Source organism: Homo sapiens, chromosome 2, assembly GCF_000001405.40.
Source record: "Homo sapiens chromosome 2, GRCh38.p14 Primary Assembly".
NCBI lineage: Eukaryota > Metazoa > Chordata > Mammalia > Primates > Hominidae > Homo > Homo sapiens.
Genome location: NC_000002.12, coordinates 217,878,657 through 217,892,824, shown reverse-complemented (window position 1 = coordinate 217,892,824; position 14,168 = coordinate 217,878,657). Strand labels below are relative to the sequence as shown.

Below are 14,168 nucleotides of genomic sequence, written 5' to 3'. Positions count from 1 at the left end.
TGAGGACGGGGGAAGGGGCCCCTGGCTCTGAGGCAGGAGCCTGTGGACAGAGGGCGGGAGGGAGGAGAGTCCACTTCTCTATCAGGGGTTCTGGTGGGGCAGCCTTGGGAGGCAGGCCCTGTCCTGAGCAACCCATGCGGCCAGCTCCTCGGAGCCACTTTTCCTTGCCAAACTGCCTTCTTTTTCCCTGGGCCAGCAGGAAGGGAGTCAGAAAGAAATGTCGGATCAGATCTGGGTCTGGCAAAACAGTCTAGAAGTTGTCTCATCTATTCCTCTGCCTCTGGACAACAGGGCCCTCTTCCTACCTAGGTGTTTGGAACAAGAATAAAGAACATCCAGTCACTGACTCCCTTTCCAATCCCACTCTGCAGAGAGGCAGAGGGATTCACCCATTCGTTTTGTTATTCACTCAACAAGGAATATGGCTGGGCGCAGTGGCTCACGCCTGTAATCCCAGCACTTTGGGAGGTCAAGGCAGGTGGATCACTTGAGGTCAGAAGTTCGAGACCAGCCTGGCCAACATGGTGAAACTCCGTCTCTACTAAAAATACAAAAATTAGCCAGGCATGGTGGGGCAGGTGCCTGTAATCCCAGCTACTCAGGAGGCTGAGGCAGGAGAATCCCTTGAATCTGGGAGGCAGGGAGGTTGCAGTAAGCCAAGATGGTGCCACTGCACTCCAGCCTGGGAGACAGGGAGACTCTGTCTCAAAAAGAAAAAAACAATAAATATTGAACAGACAATGTGCCAGGCTCTGTTCTAGGTCCTGGGAATGCAGCAGAGGGCAAAGCCAGGCCACTGCCCTCATGGGCATTAAACACATAAACAAATACATTAGTAATAGCAGGTGATAATTATCGTGAAAGAGTAAAGGGACTCAAGAAGGGCAGTGGCGAGGCAGGTCCATGGTTGGAGAAGGCCTCTTGATGAGGTGACACTGGAACAGAGACCTGAGTGACCAGGATGGAAAGGGCTGAGCCTTATCAAGCCTGTGGGATGTGCCCTGCACACTGAGAGAAGAGGAAGGATGGGAATGCGAGGGGCTGAGGTGTTTGAAGCTGAGCAAGTGAGGGAAGAGGAAGAGGAGGGGAAGCTGGGAGGTGGCAGAGCCATGGGGCCTCGCGGCCTCACTGAGGACTTTGGGGTTTGCTCTAAGAGTGATGGGAAGTCACTGGAGCTTCGTGATCTTTTCATTTCAAAGTGACTTCTCTGAGTGCTCTGTGAGGATGGTAGAATCTTCTGTGGAGGGCCTGCCAGGAGGCTGTAGTTTTAGGACTTCGAGCAACCCAAGTCAGTCTCACCTTTGCTTAATGATAAGCAAAGATGAGGCTGCACCTTTACTGCACTCCTGTACCCCTACTGTGTGCCATGAGTGCCAAGCTCTTTATGGATATTCCCTCACTTCATCTCCATAGTCACCTTTGAGGAAGGGGCAATTATCACCCTCATTTGATGGGTGAGGAGAATGAAGTTCAGAGAGATTCAGGAACTTGTACCAGGACACGGGGCTCATAAGTGGTAGACCTGAGCTGGGCTCCCAGGCTGCTGAACTTTAAAGCCTGGGCTGAGTGCGGCCCTGCACAGTTGGAGAGATGCTGAAACACTCTTTTCCTGAAAGCTTCTCGGCACAGGATGGCAGGGGGAAGAGGCTTGTCTTCCCTCCAGGACAAAGGTGCTCTTTGGCCAGAGTGCTCTGCAGGTCTGAGGGAGCAGGGGTGGGGAAAACAAGCGGCTCTTGGATGCAGGAGTTGCCTCTTTTGACCACCTGTCTCTCCCTGCAGTGCGGACCAGGCTCTGGACCGGTTTGCAATGAAGCGGTTCTATGAGGATAAGATTGTGCCCATTGGCCAGCCATCCCAAAGAAGGTGGGTCTCTGGGGCTCACAGCCCCTTGCATGTATGTGTGCACTCACTCTATGTGGGGACTAGACTTGTGTACTCACAGGGATGGGATAGCTGTGCCTAGGTGGGGGTGTACCAGGCGCAAGTTTTCAGATGCCAGCCTGCAGTGGTGTGAGCTCAGGCACACAGGAGAGCCCGGGAGCCAGCCTGTGGTGTGTGCCCGCAGATTGGCACAGCACTTGACTCTGAGGCCTGTGCTAGAGAGCAGTGCAACCTTCATGGGGAAGCATGAGTCTGGGGATAAGAAGGCGCTGGTCTAGGAAGGCATGTGCTGTTCTTGGCCCTGGAAGCAGGATTGCTTCAGTGCTTGGATGAGTCTACGGGAGACTGCATCACTGCCCCCTGCTGTGGGAGGTCAGACACTCATGATAAGGGTCACCTTCTGTTGGGAGAGTTTAGACAGTTTTACTGAGAGCTTTCAACCACATGGTCTCATTGGAGTCTCACAATAGCCCAGGCAGGAAACAGGGCAGGGATGGATTTATTCATTCAGCAAAATTTAAATCATCTACTATGGCTCCAAGCACTGAGATATCTGGGTGAACAGGAAAAAGTCCTTTCCCTTGGTGAGCTGATACCTAATGAGAGAGATGGACATGAAACAAATAACCATACAAACAAGACAGTGTCAGACAGCAATGAGGCTAGGAAGGAAAGAGGGCACTGCAGACACGAGAACTGATAGGGGAACGGGGCTCTTTTAATAGGGATGGTCAGGGAATACCTCTTAGAGGGGGTGAATTTGAGCCTAAACTGGAATCACGGTGAGCTATCGTGTGATGATCTAGGCATCCCATTTTGCAGATTAGAAGCTGAGCCGAGGGAGGGGGCGTGGCCATGGTCTATAGTGAGTAGTGGCAGAACTGGAAAGTACGTGAAGGCCTAGTAATGCCTGGGCTAGGGCAGTGCCTCCTGGTTGTGTGACCCACTGTCCTGAGGGATCCTGCTCCGTGGGTGACATGTTGCTCAAAGACATCTCATGCACAGGAAGGCACAGGCAGCATCAGGGGCAGGAGGTCTTTGGGGGAGGCTGCAGCCAGGATGGTGGGAAACCCAAGCCCAAACTGGAGACCTGGATGGTGGGACGCAGGCCCAGCTCTGTTTGCTGCTGGGAGTTGTGGGCCTGCCACCTGCCGTGATGTCAGCACCATTCTGCACACTGGTGACATGGTGCTGAATCCGCCAGGCAAGGGCTTATGGAGCTCAGCTTCTAGTGGATGTTACACATATAAGGAAACAATTCAGATAGTCATGAGAGCTGCAAAGAAAAGGCAAACTATGATGGCTAGAGAGTGATGGGGCTGGAAAGAGGGCTGATTCAAATGGAAGGGCCTTCTGAGAAGGTGACGTGTAACATGAGATCTGGGTGGGGAGAAGGAAGCCTCCAAGTGAACGCACGGGATAAAGGATCCAGAATGAGGGAATAGCACTGACTACAAGGGCCTGGAGGCCAAAGCATCCTATTTGCCTTTTTAGCCCCTGAGCACACTGACTGGGCCAACAAGGGCCTGGAGCTGTGAGTCCTGGAGCTCTCCAGCCTCATCATGCTGAGGGTCCCAACACGTGCCCCATCATCCCACCTTGCTTGGCTGGCTAGAACTGTGCTGTCCCAGCTGGGGGCTATTCCCGCCATTGTAATTGGAAGCCCAAGAAGTGAGTGAGTCCTCAGGTAACCCAGCACCTTATAGTTGCACAAAACAGTTGATAGCCAGCCTCAGAGTCAGCAACCAGAAATGGGATGTCTTTATGTGCAGAAAATTCTGGTTAGGGCCCTGGAGACAGCAGCTGTGGATCAACGAGAGTCTTCTCAGGGAAGAAAGAATGATTGGTCAAGCACTGCCTTGTCAGCCTCTGGCTTGCCATGTGTGTCTGCTGACTGTAATCACGGTGTGGCCTTTGACCTTGAAGGATAAGGATACTAAGAGAGAAGCATGCTGTTCCAATGGCACAGTGTGGCTTGGAGAGAATGGGTAGAGAGTAACATCTCTGAGTCTGAGTAGTGAAGGCCTGAAGACCAGGGATCAGTGTCACCTCTCAGGAATAGGATTATTTAGGGATTCCCTGGTGTATTAGTCCATTTTCATGCTGCTGATAAAGACATACCCAAGACTGGGCAATTTACAAAAGAAAGAGGTTTAATGGACTCACAGTTCCACGTGGCTGGGGAGGTCTCACAATCATGGCGGAAGGTGAAAGGCAAATCTCACATGGTGACAGACAAGAGAAGAGAGAGGGTCAAGGGAAAGGGGTTTCCCCTTACAAAACCATCGGATCTTGTGAGAATTATTCACTACCACGAGAATAGAATGGGGGAAACCACTCCCATGATTCAATTATCTCTCACTGGGTCCCTCCCACAACACGAGGGAATTATGGGAGCTACAACTCAAGATGAGATTTGGGTGAGGATGCAGCCAAACCATATCATCTCGTGTTCAACATATGCTTGCATAGCAGGCAGTTGGGGCGTGTCTGCCTGGCTCCTGTCTGACACTGCCTCTGCTTGTGGATGGGTCACCTCTCTGAGCCCAGATGTGGAAGTGCAACTGTGGGTTTACTATGCATTTATTGCCACCCTCCTGCCTTCTTGTCAGTGTCACTTGCAGGGAATGGAGCAGATGGAGGAGAGGAGGGCAGGGAAAGAGAGAGGGAGGGGCTTTGCCTGTAGCTCTCTCATTCATTGTCACCCGCCTCCGGACTCATTGTCCCTCGAACACAGACACATCCTGTTGGCACGATCCAGAGATCTGATAGGAACCGCTATTCCAGGTTTCCGGCTTGAGTAATGGGGCAGGGGCCTGAATAGGATCGGGTGCTGCCCATCAGATTATCTTACTTGAGTAGTCCGAGGAGGCCCCACCCAAACCCAGGGACAGAGGCCCACAGGCTTGGAGGTGGGCCAAGGAGCCAAGAGACAGGAGGGGATCTTATCATGGTCATGTGGGCTCTAGTTCCACCCTCTTCAGAGAGCTACTATTGGCTCCTGCAGAGCCTCAGAATACATTCTGATTGGTCTAGCTGACTCAGCTTGTCATTCCATGGCCAATCAGAAAAGGGAAAATGCCGACCAATCGACGCAGAAGGACTGATCTCTATTGGGCAGATGACCGATCTCTAGTTTATTGGGCAGATGCGTTGGAGCCCAGACTTCTTTCCTGCTCTCCCCATCCACTTCCAGCTTTGTGTGTTCTTGCTGTGTGTCTCTGGAGTCCAGTGACCCCTCCTGGACCTTATTTATCCTCTCTGTCTAGAAGGAGAGGGTGTGGGTTAGTTCTTCCATTCTTCCAACAGATCTTTGTTAAAGAACTAGGGGATGTTGGCTGGGTGCGGTGGCTCACACCTGTAATCCCAGCACTTTGGGAGGCCGAGGCGGGCTGATCACCTGAGGTTGGGAGTTTGAGACCAGCCTGACCAACATGGAGAAACCCTGTCTCTACTAAAAATACAAAATTAGCCGGGCATGGTGGCGCATGCCTGTAATCCCAGCTACTCAGGAGGCTGAGGCAGGAGAATCACTTGAACCCGGGAGGCAGAGGTTGCGGTGAGCCGAGATTGCGCCATTGCACTCCAGCCTGGGCAACAAGAGTGAAACTCCATCTCAAAAACAAAAACAAAACAAAAAAATTGGGGGAAGTTGACCCTAGAGATAGATACTTATTAGAAGCTAGTTACCTCGAATACCAAGTAAACTCAAGGATACAGAGAGAGGGACTTAATGCACTTTGGTATGATGTAGAGAAAGTGAAGAACTACATTCATTAAAGTCTTGCTCACTATTTGCTAGACTATCACTTGTGGCTACTGGATCTGTGGGCAGAACTGGGGCTGTGAGTATGAGCGCAAGCTTGATTTGAGCTTTGTGTGGGGGTGTGAGGGCGTCAGAGCTGTTTGGTGGTTGGGCCTGCCTTGTGCAGCTAAATGATGCCTGTCAGGGATGTGGGGTGGAAATTTTGGTCCAGCAGGAGATTCTCGGGCTGGGAGTGAAGCAGGAAAGAGATATTCATGTTGACCACCAGAGGGCGGTGGCGAACTCCAAGTGGGATGCTTGACTTGACCCAGCTCTAGGTCTGGTATACCTGCTCACTCTTCCTACCTAGGGCTCCCAGCAGCAGGCAAGCATGTCTGGGAGGGAGGCCTGGTTGGGGAGGGGGACCATGTTGGTTGGGGAGAGGGTAGAGTAGGTGAGTGGTCTAGGGCAATGTTCTTGGAAAAGAGAGAACAGGGATTACTGCACCAGTACCCACCTCACTCCCTGAAGCTGCTTCTCCCACCACTACAGGTACGTGCATTACTTCAGTGGCCTGCTCTCCGGCTCCATCAAAATGAACAACAAGCCCTTGTTTCTGCACCACGTGATCATGCACGGCATCCCCAACTTTGAGTCTAAAGGAGGTACCTGCCTTGAGCCCTCTGACCTCCACCCTTGCCAACTCCTCCCTTTCATCTTCCATCTTCTCTAAGAGGCAACCTTGGGTAGTAACAGACAGCCCGAGAGCTGCAGAGTCATAAGGCCTCCATTGGACTCTCAAGTGTATTGCTTCCTAAACTTTTCTAAGCACCAATCTATTTGCAGTGCCTGCTGGCCAATGATGTTGGATGGGCAATGTTTTTATTAATTTAATTTGCCTTACAAGTGAAAAGTTGGTATTTCTTCCCCTTTCTGCTTCCTCTTTTACTCTTTCCTCTTTTCCTCCTTCCCCTTCCTACCCCGTCTTCCCCCATTTCTTCCTTCCTTTCTCTCTTTCTCCCTTCACTGTCTCCTCTGCCCCTCCTGCCTGCCAGTTTCTGCTGTCTTAGCTAACACCCACCCCACTTTTACAGGATGTCGGCCATTTCTCCGCATCTACCAGGCCATGCAACCTGTGTACACATCTGGCATCTAGTAAGTATTACATGGGCGTGAGAGGCCAGAGAAGCCCAAGGCCCAGGGCTAAGGACCAGGTCAGAAGGTTGGGGAGAGGAGAGAATATTCTCAAGAGGGCTGAAAGGACAGAGTCAGAGAGGTTTCCCACTAACCCTGTGGCGTAGGGGCAGCAGGGAGAAAATGCCCCTCCCTCATCTCCCCTCCAGCAGCCCACTCTTTTTCTGCCCACCTCTCTCCCTTAGCAACATCCCAGGAGACAGCCAGACTAGCGTCTGCATCACCATCGAGCCAGGACTGCTCTTGAAGGGAGACATCTTGGTGAGTGCTGTCCTCTGTGTCAAGCCCCATCCTTGTTTATTTTCTCTCCCTTCTTTTCTTACTCCTTTCCTGCCTCTTGGGACAAGACAGGTACTCCTCCTGGGCTGCCAGGCTTGGAACCATAGGCTCTCAGGGCTCTTGGAAGACCTTCCAGTCTCACACAGTCTGTGTCTCTCACCCTGGGCTTAGCTGTTGTTCTGGAGCATCTCCAGGGAAATATCACTCAGCGTGAGCTGTTACCTCCTGGCTTCTTATTGGTGACAAGGACTCTCTGAATTCTAGCTTCAGTTCTTCCTGCTGCCATTTAAATCCATCTTACTTTTTGCACTCTGACTTGTATGTAGAAACTTCTTGGGAGGACATTTTTGTCCCCAGAGGCCAAGACTGGCCTCCAATTCTCTGCTGTTCTAGAAGTTTCCCCACAGAACTCTGAGATCCTGTTTGGTGTTGATGAGCTCTCCCTCACCGGGTTTGGGGTGAGCCTTGGGGGCTCAGTCAGCGGAGCTGATAAGGAGGCTCCCTGGGACCTGACCTCCCAGCCTCAGGCCCCTGACTGGTTCTGCCCGTCTTCCCACCCAGCTGAAGTGCTACCACAAGAAGTTCCGAAGCCCAGCCCGAGACGTCATCTTCCGTGTGCAGTTCCACACCTGTGCCATCCATGACCTGGGGGTTGTCTTTGGGAAGGAGGACCTTGATGATGCTTTCAAAGGTGCGCTCCTTGAGTGGAGCTGGGGGTGGGCACCCCTGTGGCAGGGAGAGGAGCTCAGTTTGAGACGATATGGTGGGTATGGGGACCATCTTTTCTGGACCATGTGGTCTGTCTAGTCTCAGGGTGATGGTAGGAGAGAGTTGAGAGAGACTTGGGAGAGAGTTGAGATTGGATGGTCTGGGAATTCCAGTTGTTAGTAGAAGTGGAGATAAACTCCTCCCAGTCCTTGGGCTGTTTTATATCTTGCAGCCTTCTATGACTTTCCCTGTCTCTCCTTCATCTTGTCCTCCCAGTTTGTCACATGTGTCCTACTGACAATCATTTTTTTTTTCAACATTCACTGGGCATCTGCTTTGGGCTAGGATCTGTACCAAGTGCCGGGGATACAAAGTAAAACATGGCATGGTCTCTGCCTTGGTGGAGCTCAAAAATCTTGTTGAGTTGGGAGGCAGACTAGCAGGGGATAATTACCCTGCAGGGCAGAAGAGCAGTAGTGGAGGGGTGTGGCAGCAGCAAGGGGGAACCATTTTCTGAGAGGAGAAGAGGTGGTTGGGAAAGGTTTGGTGTTTGCTTTTGCTTCTTTCTTTTATCCATTGGAAGTTTTATCTATATCACATTAATGCCTGGGACATATAAATACACATTTATTTACCCATCTCTCTCTCCATCCACCAATCCATCCTTACACACATCCATCCATCCATCCATCCATTCATCCATCCGTCTGTCCATCCATCTGTCCATCCATCCACCCACCCATCCATCTATGCACCCACCCATTCATCCATCCATTAATCCATCCCTTCATTAATCTGTCCATCCATCCACATATTCATTCATCTGCCCACCCATCCATCTATCCATCCATCCATCCATCCATCCATCCACCCACCCACCCACCCACCCACCAAGCATCACTTGTGTGTCTGTATGTGTCGGGCATGTGCTAGACCCTATAGATATGAACAGAAAGAAGTCAGGCCCTACCCTCAGGGAGTTCACAGTTTCCTCAGTGAGAGACACACAAACATGATACTATGAAGTGTTGCCTGAAGTGATGGAGACACGCACAAGCATGATAGGTGTCCCATGGAGCAGATGCCATCCTTGCTGTAACTTCTTTTCCTACATGCAGTGGGCAGTGATCTGTGTCCAGAGTGGGCTCAGGCGGAGAAAGACTGGACCTGGGGCTTGGAGGAGGGTCCAGATCTCCTTAGTGTGGTCTGGCTCATGTAGAAGGGTGTTTCTTTAATGAGCTCTCCTTGCACTGGAGCCAGAAGATGCCATCATAATTACAGTACAGAATGTAAATGATAACAGTCTTAACAAGGAAAAATAAAGGCATAGCTGATCAAATAAATAAGGGATTGGGCAGAAGTTGAGAGAAGGAAGGGTCACAGATTTCCTCCTCTTACGTAGTGGGAGTCAGGAGATACCATCGAAAATTGACATATCAATAAATAGAGGCATGGCCAGGCACGGTGGCTCATGCCTGTAATCCCAGCACTTTGGGAGGCCAAGGCGGGAGGATTGCTTGAGGCCAGGAGTTTAAGACTAGCCTGGTAAATATAGTGAGACCCCATCTCTACAAAAAATAAAAAAATTAGCCGGGCATGGTGGCATGTGCCTGTTAGCACAGCTATTCCAGGGGCTGAGGCAGGAGGATCACTTGAGCCCAGGAGTTCAAGGCTGCAGTGAGCTATGATTGCACCGCTGCACTTTGGCCTGGGCAACAGAGTGAGACCTGGTCTCTAAAAAGAGAAAAAGAAATAGAGGCTTAACTATCTTATTTAAAGTTTCAAAGATAATCAATAGCATAAATAAAAACAATAATCTAATCAGATTTAAGAAGACAGGAAGTAGGGGTAGTAGTATAAGTGAACCAAATTATTCATATTAATAGTGGTCAATCCATAGAGGTTATTTAAAATTCATGTCTGGCTGGGTATGGTGGCTCACGCCTGTAGACCCAGCACTTTGGGATGCTGAGGCCGGTGGATTGCTTGAGCCCAGGAGTTTGAGACCAGCCTCAGCAACACAGCAAAACTCCGTCGCTATAAAAAATACAAAAATGAGCCGGGCGTGGTGGCTTGCACCTGTAGTCCCAGTTACTCTGGAGGCAGAGGTAGGAGGACCACTTTGGCTTGGGAGATTGAGGTTGCAGTGAGCTGTGATCGCACCACTGTACTCCATCTAGGGTGACAGAGCAAGATTCTGTCTCAAAAATATAAATATGCACTCCAGGCTGGGCGACAGAGCGAGACTCCATCTCAAAATAAATAAAATAAAATAAAATAAAATTGGGATCTAGAAATAGTGGCATAAAAATAGTGGCTATTATTTAGAGTCTTAGAGGTAAATTGCTAGTAGAAAAGCAATAGAAATAGTTAGAATCAGTGACCTCATTACCTCAGGCAAGTAGGACAGGGGCTAGAGTGGGCAGGAAATTTAATTTCATTGTATAGATATAATTTCATGTATATATGTATAAATATACATTGATTATTATTATATTATTAACCATGTACATATATGGTATTTTAATTTTTTCTAGAAGAAAACTTTTTATGGAATCCTTTTTGGGACTTTTTGCCTATTTTTATTTTTCCTTCTCTTTTTCCAGATGATCGATTTCCAGAGTATGGCAAAGTGGAGTTTGTATTTTCTTATGGGCCAGAGAAAATTCAAGGTATAAGCCGAGTTAGAATTCATTCTCTCACTCCTTCCTTTTATCCTGACCCTATCCCCAGCACCCTTCCACCCCTGGTCTGTTCCACAGTGATCAAGTTATTTTTGAGAGGCAGGCCATCAGTAAAGGATCTGGGTTTCAGAGTGGACCCCTAGCTAAACATGAACCAGTGACTTAATCTCTGGATAATAAAAATAAAAAAGCAGACAGAGAGGCACTGGGTTGGATAAACTGTTCTGGTCCCATTAGGTCATCAGCCTGTTATATTCAGAGACTGAGGTCCTTGGTAGATGGAGGGAGTGGCTGGCGGGCAGGGGGCACACAAAGGTGCTGGATAGAAGATGTGTATTTATGAGAACTGAGGTGATTCAACCTGAAGGCTGGTTTAATAATAACCTTGAAGCCTCTATACTGGTTATAAGTGGAGACCAGTTGTTCACCATCTTATTCGAGAATGGAATGAAAGGAGATGAAGTTAGGTTATGGGCAGAGGGACTCTGGATAGACTAAAGAAAGGACTGCCAAGCCAGGAAGGTAACTCACCCTGACAGACTTGACTAGGAGCTATGCTGTCTTTGAGCCAGGTTTTTAAAAATTTACTTATTTATTTTTATTTTACCTTAAGTTCTGGGATACACGTGCTGAATGTGCAGATTTGTTACATAGGCATATATGTGCCATGGTGGTTTGCTGCACCTGTCAACCCATCGTCTACTTTTAAGCTCTGCATGCATTAGGTATTTGTCCCAATGCTGAGCTGGGTTTTCTGTGGATGGCTGGGAGATTCTGCCGTGCCCCCTAGGTTTCTGTCTGGAGCGGAGAGCGTTTTAAGAGGGGGCAGGGCCATGCCTGGGATGACCCTTTGGAGGCTTTATGTCCTTTCAATGTCGGGGCTGTGATTTCCCTGCTGTCCCTGATCCCACGTAGCTCATAAGCAGCCTGCCCCCCACCCCCAGGGTCTGACCCCAGGGGCAGACTTTCTAGTCTCTTGGCACTGCCTCAGGAGCCCCAGGGACACAGAAGAAAAAGAGGCAGGTACCCAGCCAGGGGTCCTCCCCGCTTTCTTCCAGGGGGTCTTCATTCTTCAGTGCCTGTCCTGATTTACCCCTATGACCCGGCATGAGCCTTTTCAAGAATGTGAGAAACTAGACTCCCAGTTCTCAGTCCAGCTTAAGCCACTGGTCCCGCCCACCACGCTCAAGAAAATGAGAAGTCCCTCAGGGAGCCTCTTTTGGGGAGCTTGTGGGCTTTCTCTGTTTTTCCAGCTGCTGATCTCTTTTCCCTCTCTGCACTGTCTCCCCGACTGCCGCTGCCTTTCCCATCCCACTTAGGCATGGAGCACCTGGAGAACGGGCCGAGCGTGTCTGTGGACTATAACACCTCCGACCCCCTCATCCGCTGGGACTCCTACGACAACTTCAGTGGGCATCGAGATGACGGCATGGAGGGTAGGTGGGACCTAGTGGCTCCCAGCCCCTATCCAAACTGCACAGCCTCTGCTCACATGACCTTGCTTCTCTTGGCCTGCTTTCAAGAGATCTGGGTTCGAGAGGAGGCAGAGGGGAAGTGTGAGGTACCTCCGAGAGCTCACCGTTAACTGGGGGAAGATAAGGCACATATATGAATGTATTAAATAAAAGTGAGGACAGAGCCAAAGAAGGCAGCAAAATGGCCACAAGGGGGTTATCGTGGAAGTGTGTTGCTACAGCCAAGTAAGTTCCGTGGACAGTGAGTTCTCTGGGATTGGCAGGGAGGGATTTTGAGAGCTGGAGTGATCTGGGAAGGCTCCTTGGAGGATGTGGCCTTGAGTGGAGCTTGAGATACCCCCCACTGTGCTGCAAAAACAGCATTTGTCACATGTGTATTAAACCCACTGTTGGGTTTCTTCAGGCTTGCTGCCTGAGTTCTCTGGGGTCAGAGTACTAGGAACAGAGGCACAGGATCTAGGGCCTACAAGCTTTCATCAACAGCCAACAAAAATGTTTGAGAGCTGGGAACAAACTGATAGGCTCTGAAATTTGAAAAGAAAGCAGCAGAATTGAAATTAATACATGTTTAATTTAGCTACAAACCTAACATTATGTCAAATGGTCCACTGCAACTCAGGTCGTCTCTTGAGAGTTCTACATGCATTCTATTTATTTATGTGGTCTATCTGCATATGTGTAAGGAGACGTGGGGCGGGCTCCGAAAGTGAGCATGCCCAGAGCCCAGGAACTCTTGAGATGCCCTGCCTGGGGTTTGGCCACAAGCTTCTTTTCTTGAGTTGGTCGTAGGACTGCAGAATGTTGGAGCTGGGAGGACCTTCAGGATGGTCCAGCCCATCACCCATCTGTGTTCAGTTGGGGTGACTGAGACCCTTCCCAGAGGCAGAACCTCCTGATTTACCCCCGTGACCCAGGATGGCCCTTTCAAGGATGCCAGCACCCAGCGTCTGGCTTCTCCTCCCAGCTGAAGCCAGTCCTGGGTGGGGCTGTGCCATCCTGGGGCCCCTGGGTCCCATGGCAGAGCTAGGTTAGAGATAGGTAGGCCTGGGGGCCTCCCTGTGCCCTCTTTCCTCTACACGGCGCTGTCTTCTGTCTCCCTCCCCAAGGTTTTGGATTTGATGACTCCTCTCTGAAAATCTTTGGGCCTTTCCTTGAATAAAGATTTCTCCTCTGACCTTGGGGTCACCAGAATGAGCACAAGGTTTCAGAGAGAAGTGGGATGAGGGAGGGTGGTTGGACTAGAATTTGGGGACTCACTGAGAGCACATTTTTTTACGTGCAACATTGAAAAGTGGATGGCCTGTCCTCACACCTGCCTCAGTTCCCAACCCCTTTTCCTCCCCCAGGGGCCCAGCACCCTCAGATTGGCCAAGACACCCCACCAGGCCCCTCCGACCCCCCAGGCTGCTTGTGAAAAGCACTCCTCCATCCCCGGGCGCTGAGCGGCCAAGCAGAAAGCAGAGGCTGGAGCGAATTTGTTCTGAGGTTTCAGTGGCTGCCAGCCTAATTGGTCGTTGTGCTGGGGATGTTTGCATTTTTAACAAGAACATTTGGCAATTGGAAAGAATTTTTACTGTCTCTCCATCTCTTCTTGGTGCATGGTCAATGCGATGATAAATGTAAAAACATTTAGTAAACTATAAAGTGCCAGGCAAATAAAAGGTAAAATAATTAACGGTGAGGAGGAGATGTGGGAAAGACGGGGCTTAGGATGTATTTGGCTGTGGGGGAAGGAAGAAGAGCAGACGGTCAGAGTGGGAGGCAGCCCAGGGACAGCAGAGCCGAGAGCGGCTCCCCCTCTCGGCAGAGGGCCAGCTTCTCAGCCTCCAGACAGGGCCCCTCTGTCCTTGCAGGATGAGCTGACCTTTAACTGACCAAAAGGTCCTGCTGGTTCCATCCCTCTGTCTGAGGGAATGGATTAGAAGGGAAAAAAGGAAGGGCGAGGGGGCAGAAGAAGCGGCCAGGGCCTTCCCTCACCAACCCTCTGTCCCCTCTACCTGCCTATAGCGGCCTTCATGAGAGGCAGTTAGTATGTGGTTAAGAATGCAGCCTCTGCAGCCAAACTACCTGGCTTCAAATCCTTTGACAAGGTACTGTCCTTGGGGCCTCGGTTTGACCTGCTGTAAAATGGGAATTCAGTCAACAAATCATTTTGAGCCCCTTGTGGGCAGCACGGCCTGAGGAAGGACTGCATGTGGTGTT

General features: G+C 50.3%; 1 protein-coding gene across 21 annotated transcripts in view, besides 1 other annotated feature; it reads left to right on the top strand.

Moving 5' to 3' along the window:
* The window catches only part of TNS1 (tensin 1), a 234,192-nt gene that overhangs the window by 141,158 nt on the left and 78,866 nt on the right, over nucleotides 1-14,168 (top strand). For all 21 annotated transcript variants that reach the window (XM_047445637.1, NM_001438865.1, XM_047445639.1 and 18 more), the window contains 7 exons: nucleotides 1,780-1,863; nucleotides 6,179-6,291; nucleotides 6,721-6,781; nucleotides 7,006-7,081; nucleotides 7,661-7,790; nucleotides 10,414-10,479; nucleotides 11,811-11,927. In XM_047445637.1, coding sequence (XP_047301593.1) covers nucleotides 1,780-1,863; nucleotides 6,179-6,291; nucleotides 6,721-6,781; nucleotides 7,006-7,081; nucleotides 7,661-7,790; nucleotides 10,414-10,479; nucleotides 11,811-11,927 — 647 coding nt within the window. The remainder of the gene's footprint in view (nucleotides 1-1,779; nucleotides 1,864-6,178; nucleotides 6,292-6,720; nucleotides 6,782-7,005; nucleotides 7,082-7,660; nucleotides 7,791-10,413; nucleotides 10,480-11,810; nucleotides 11,928-14,168) is intronic.
* Nucleotides 2,065-2,359: an enhancer, noted in NCBI's record as "tiled region #15318; K562 Activating non-DNase unmatched - State 13:Ctcf". NCBI's record gives its function as "activates a minimal TATA promoter and a strong SV40 promoter by Sharpr-MPRA in K562 cells {active_cell/tissue: K562}" and the evidence as "EXISTENCE:reporter gene assay evidence [ECO:0000049][PMID:27701403]".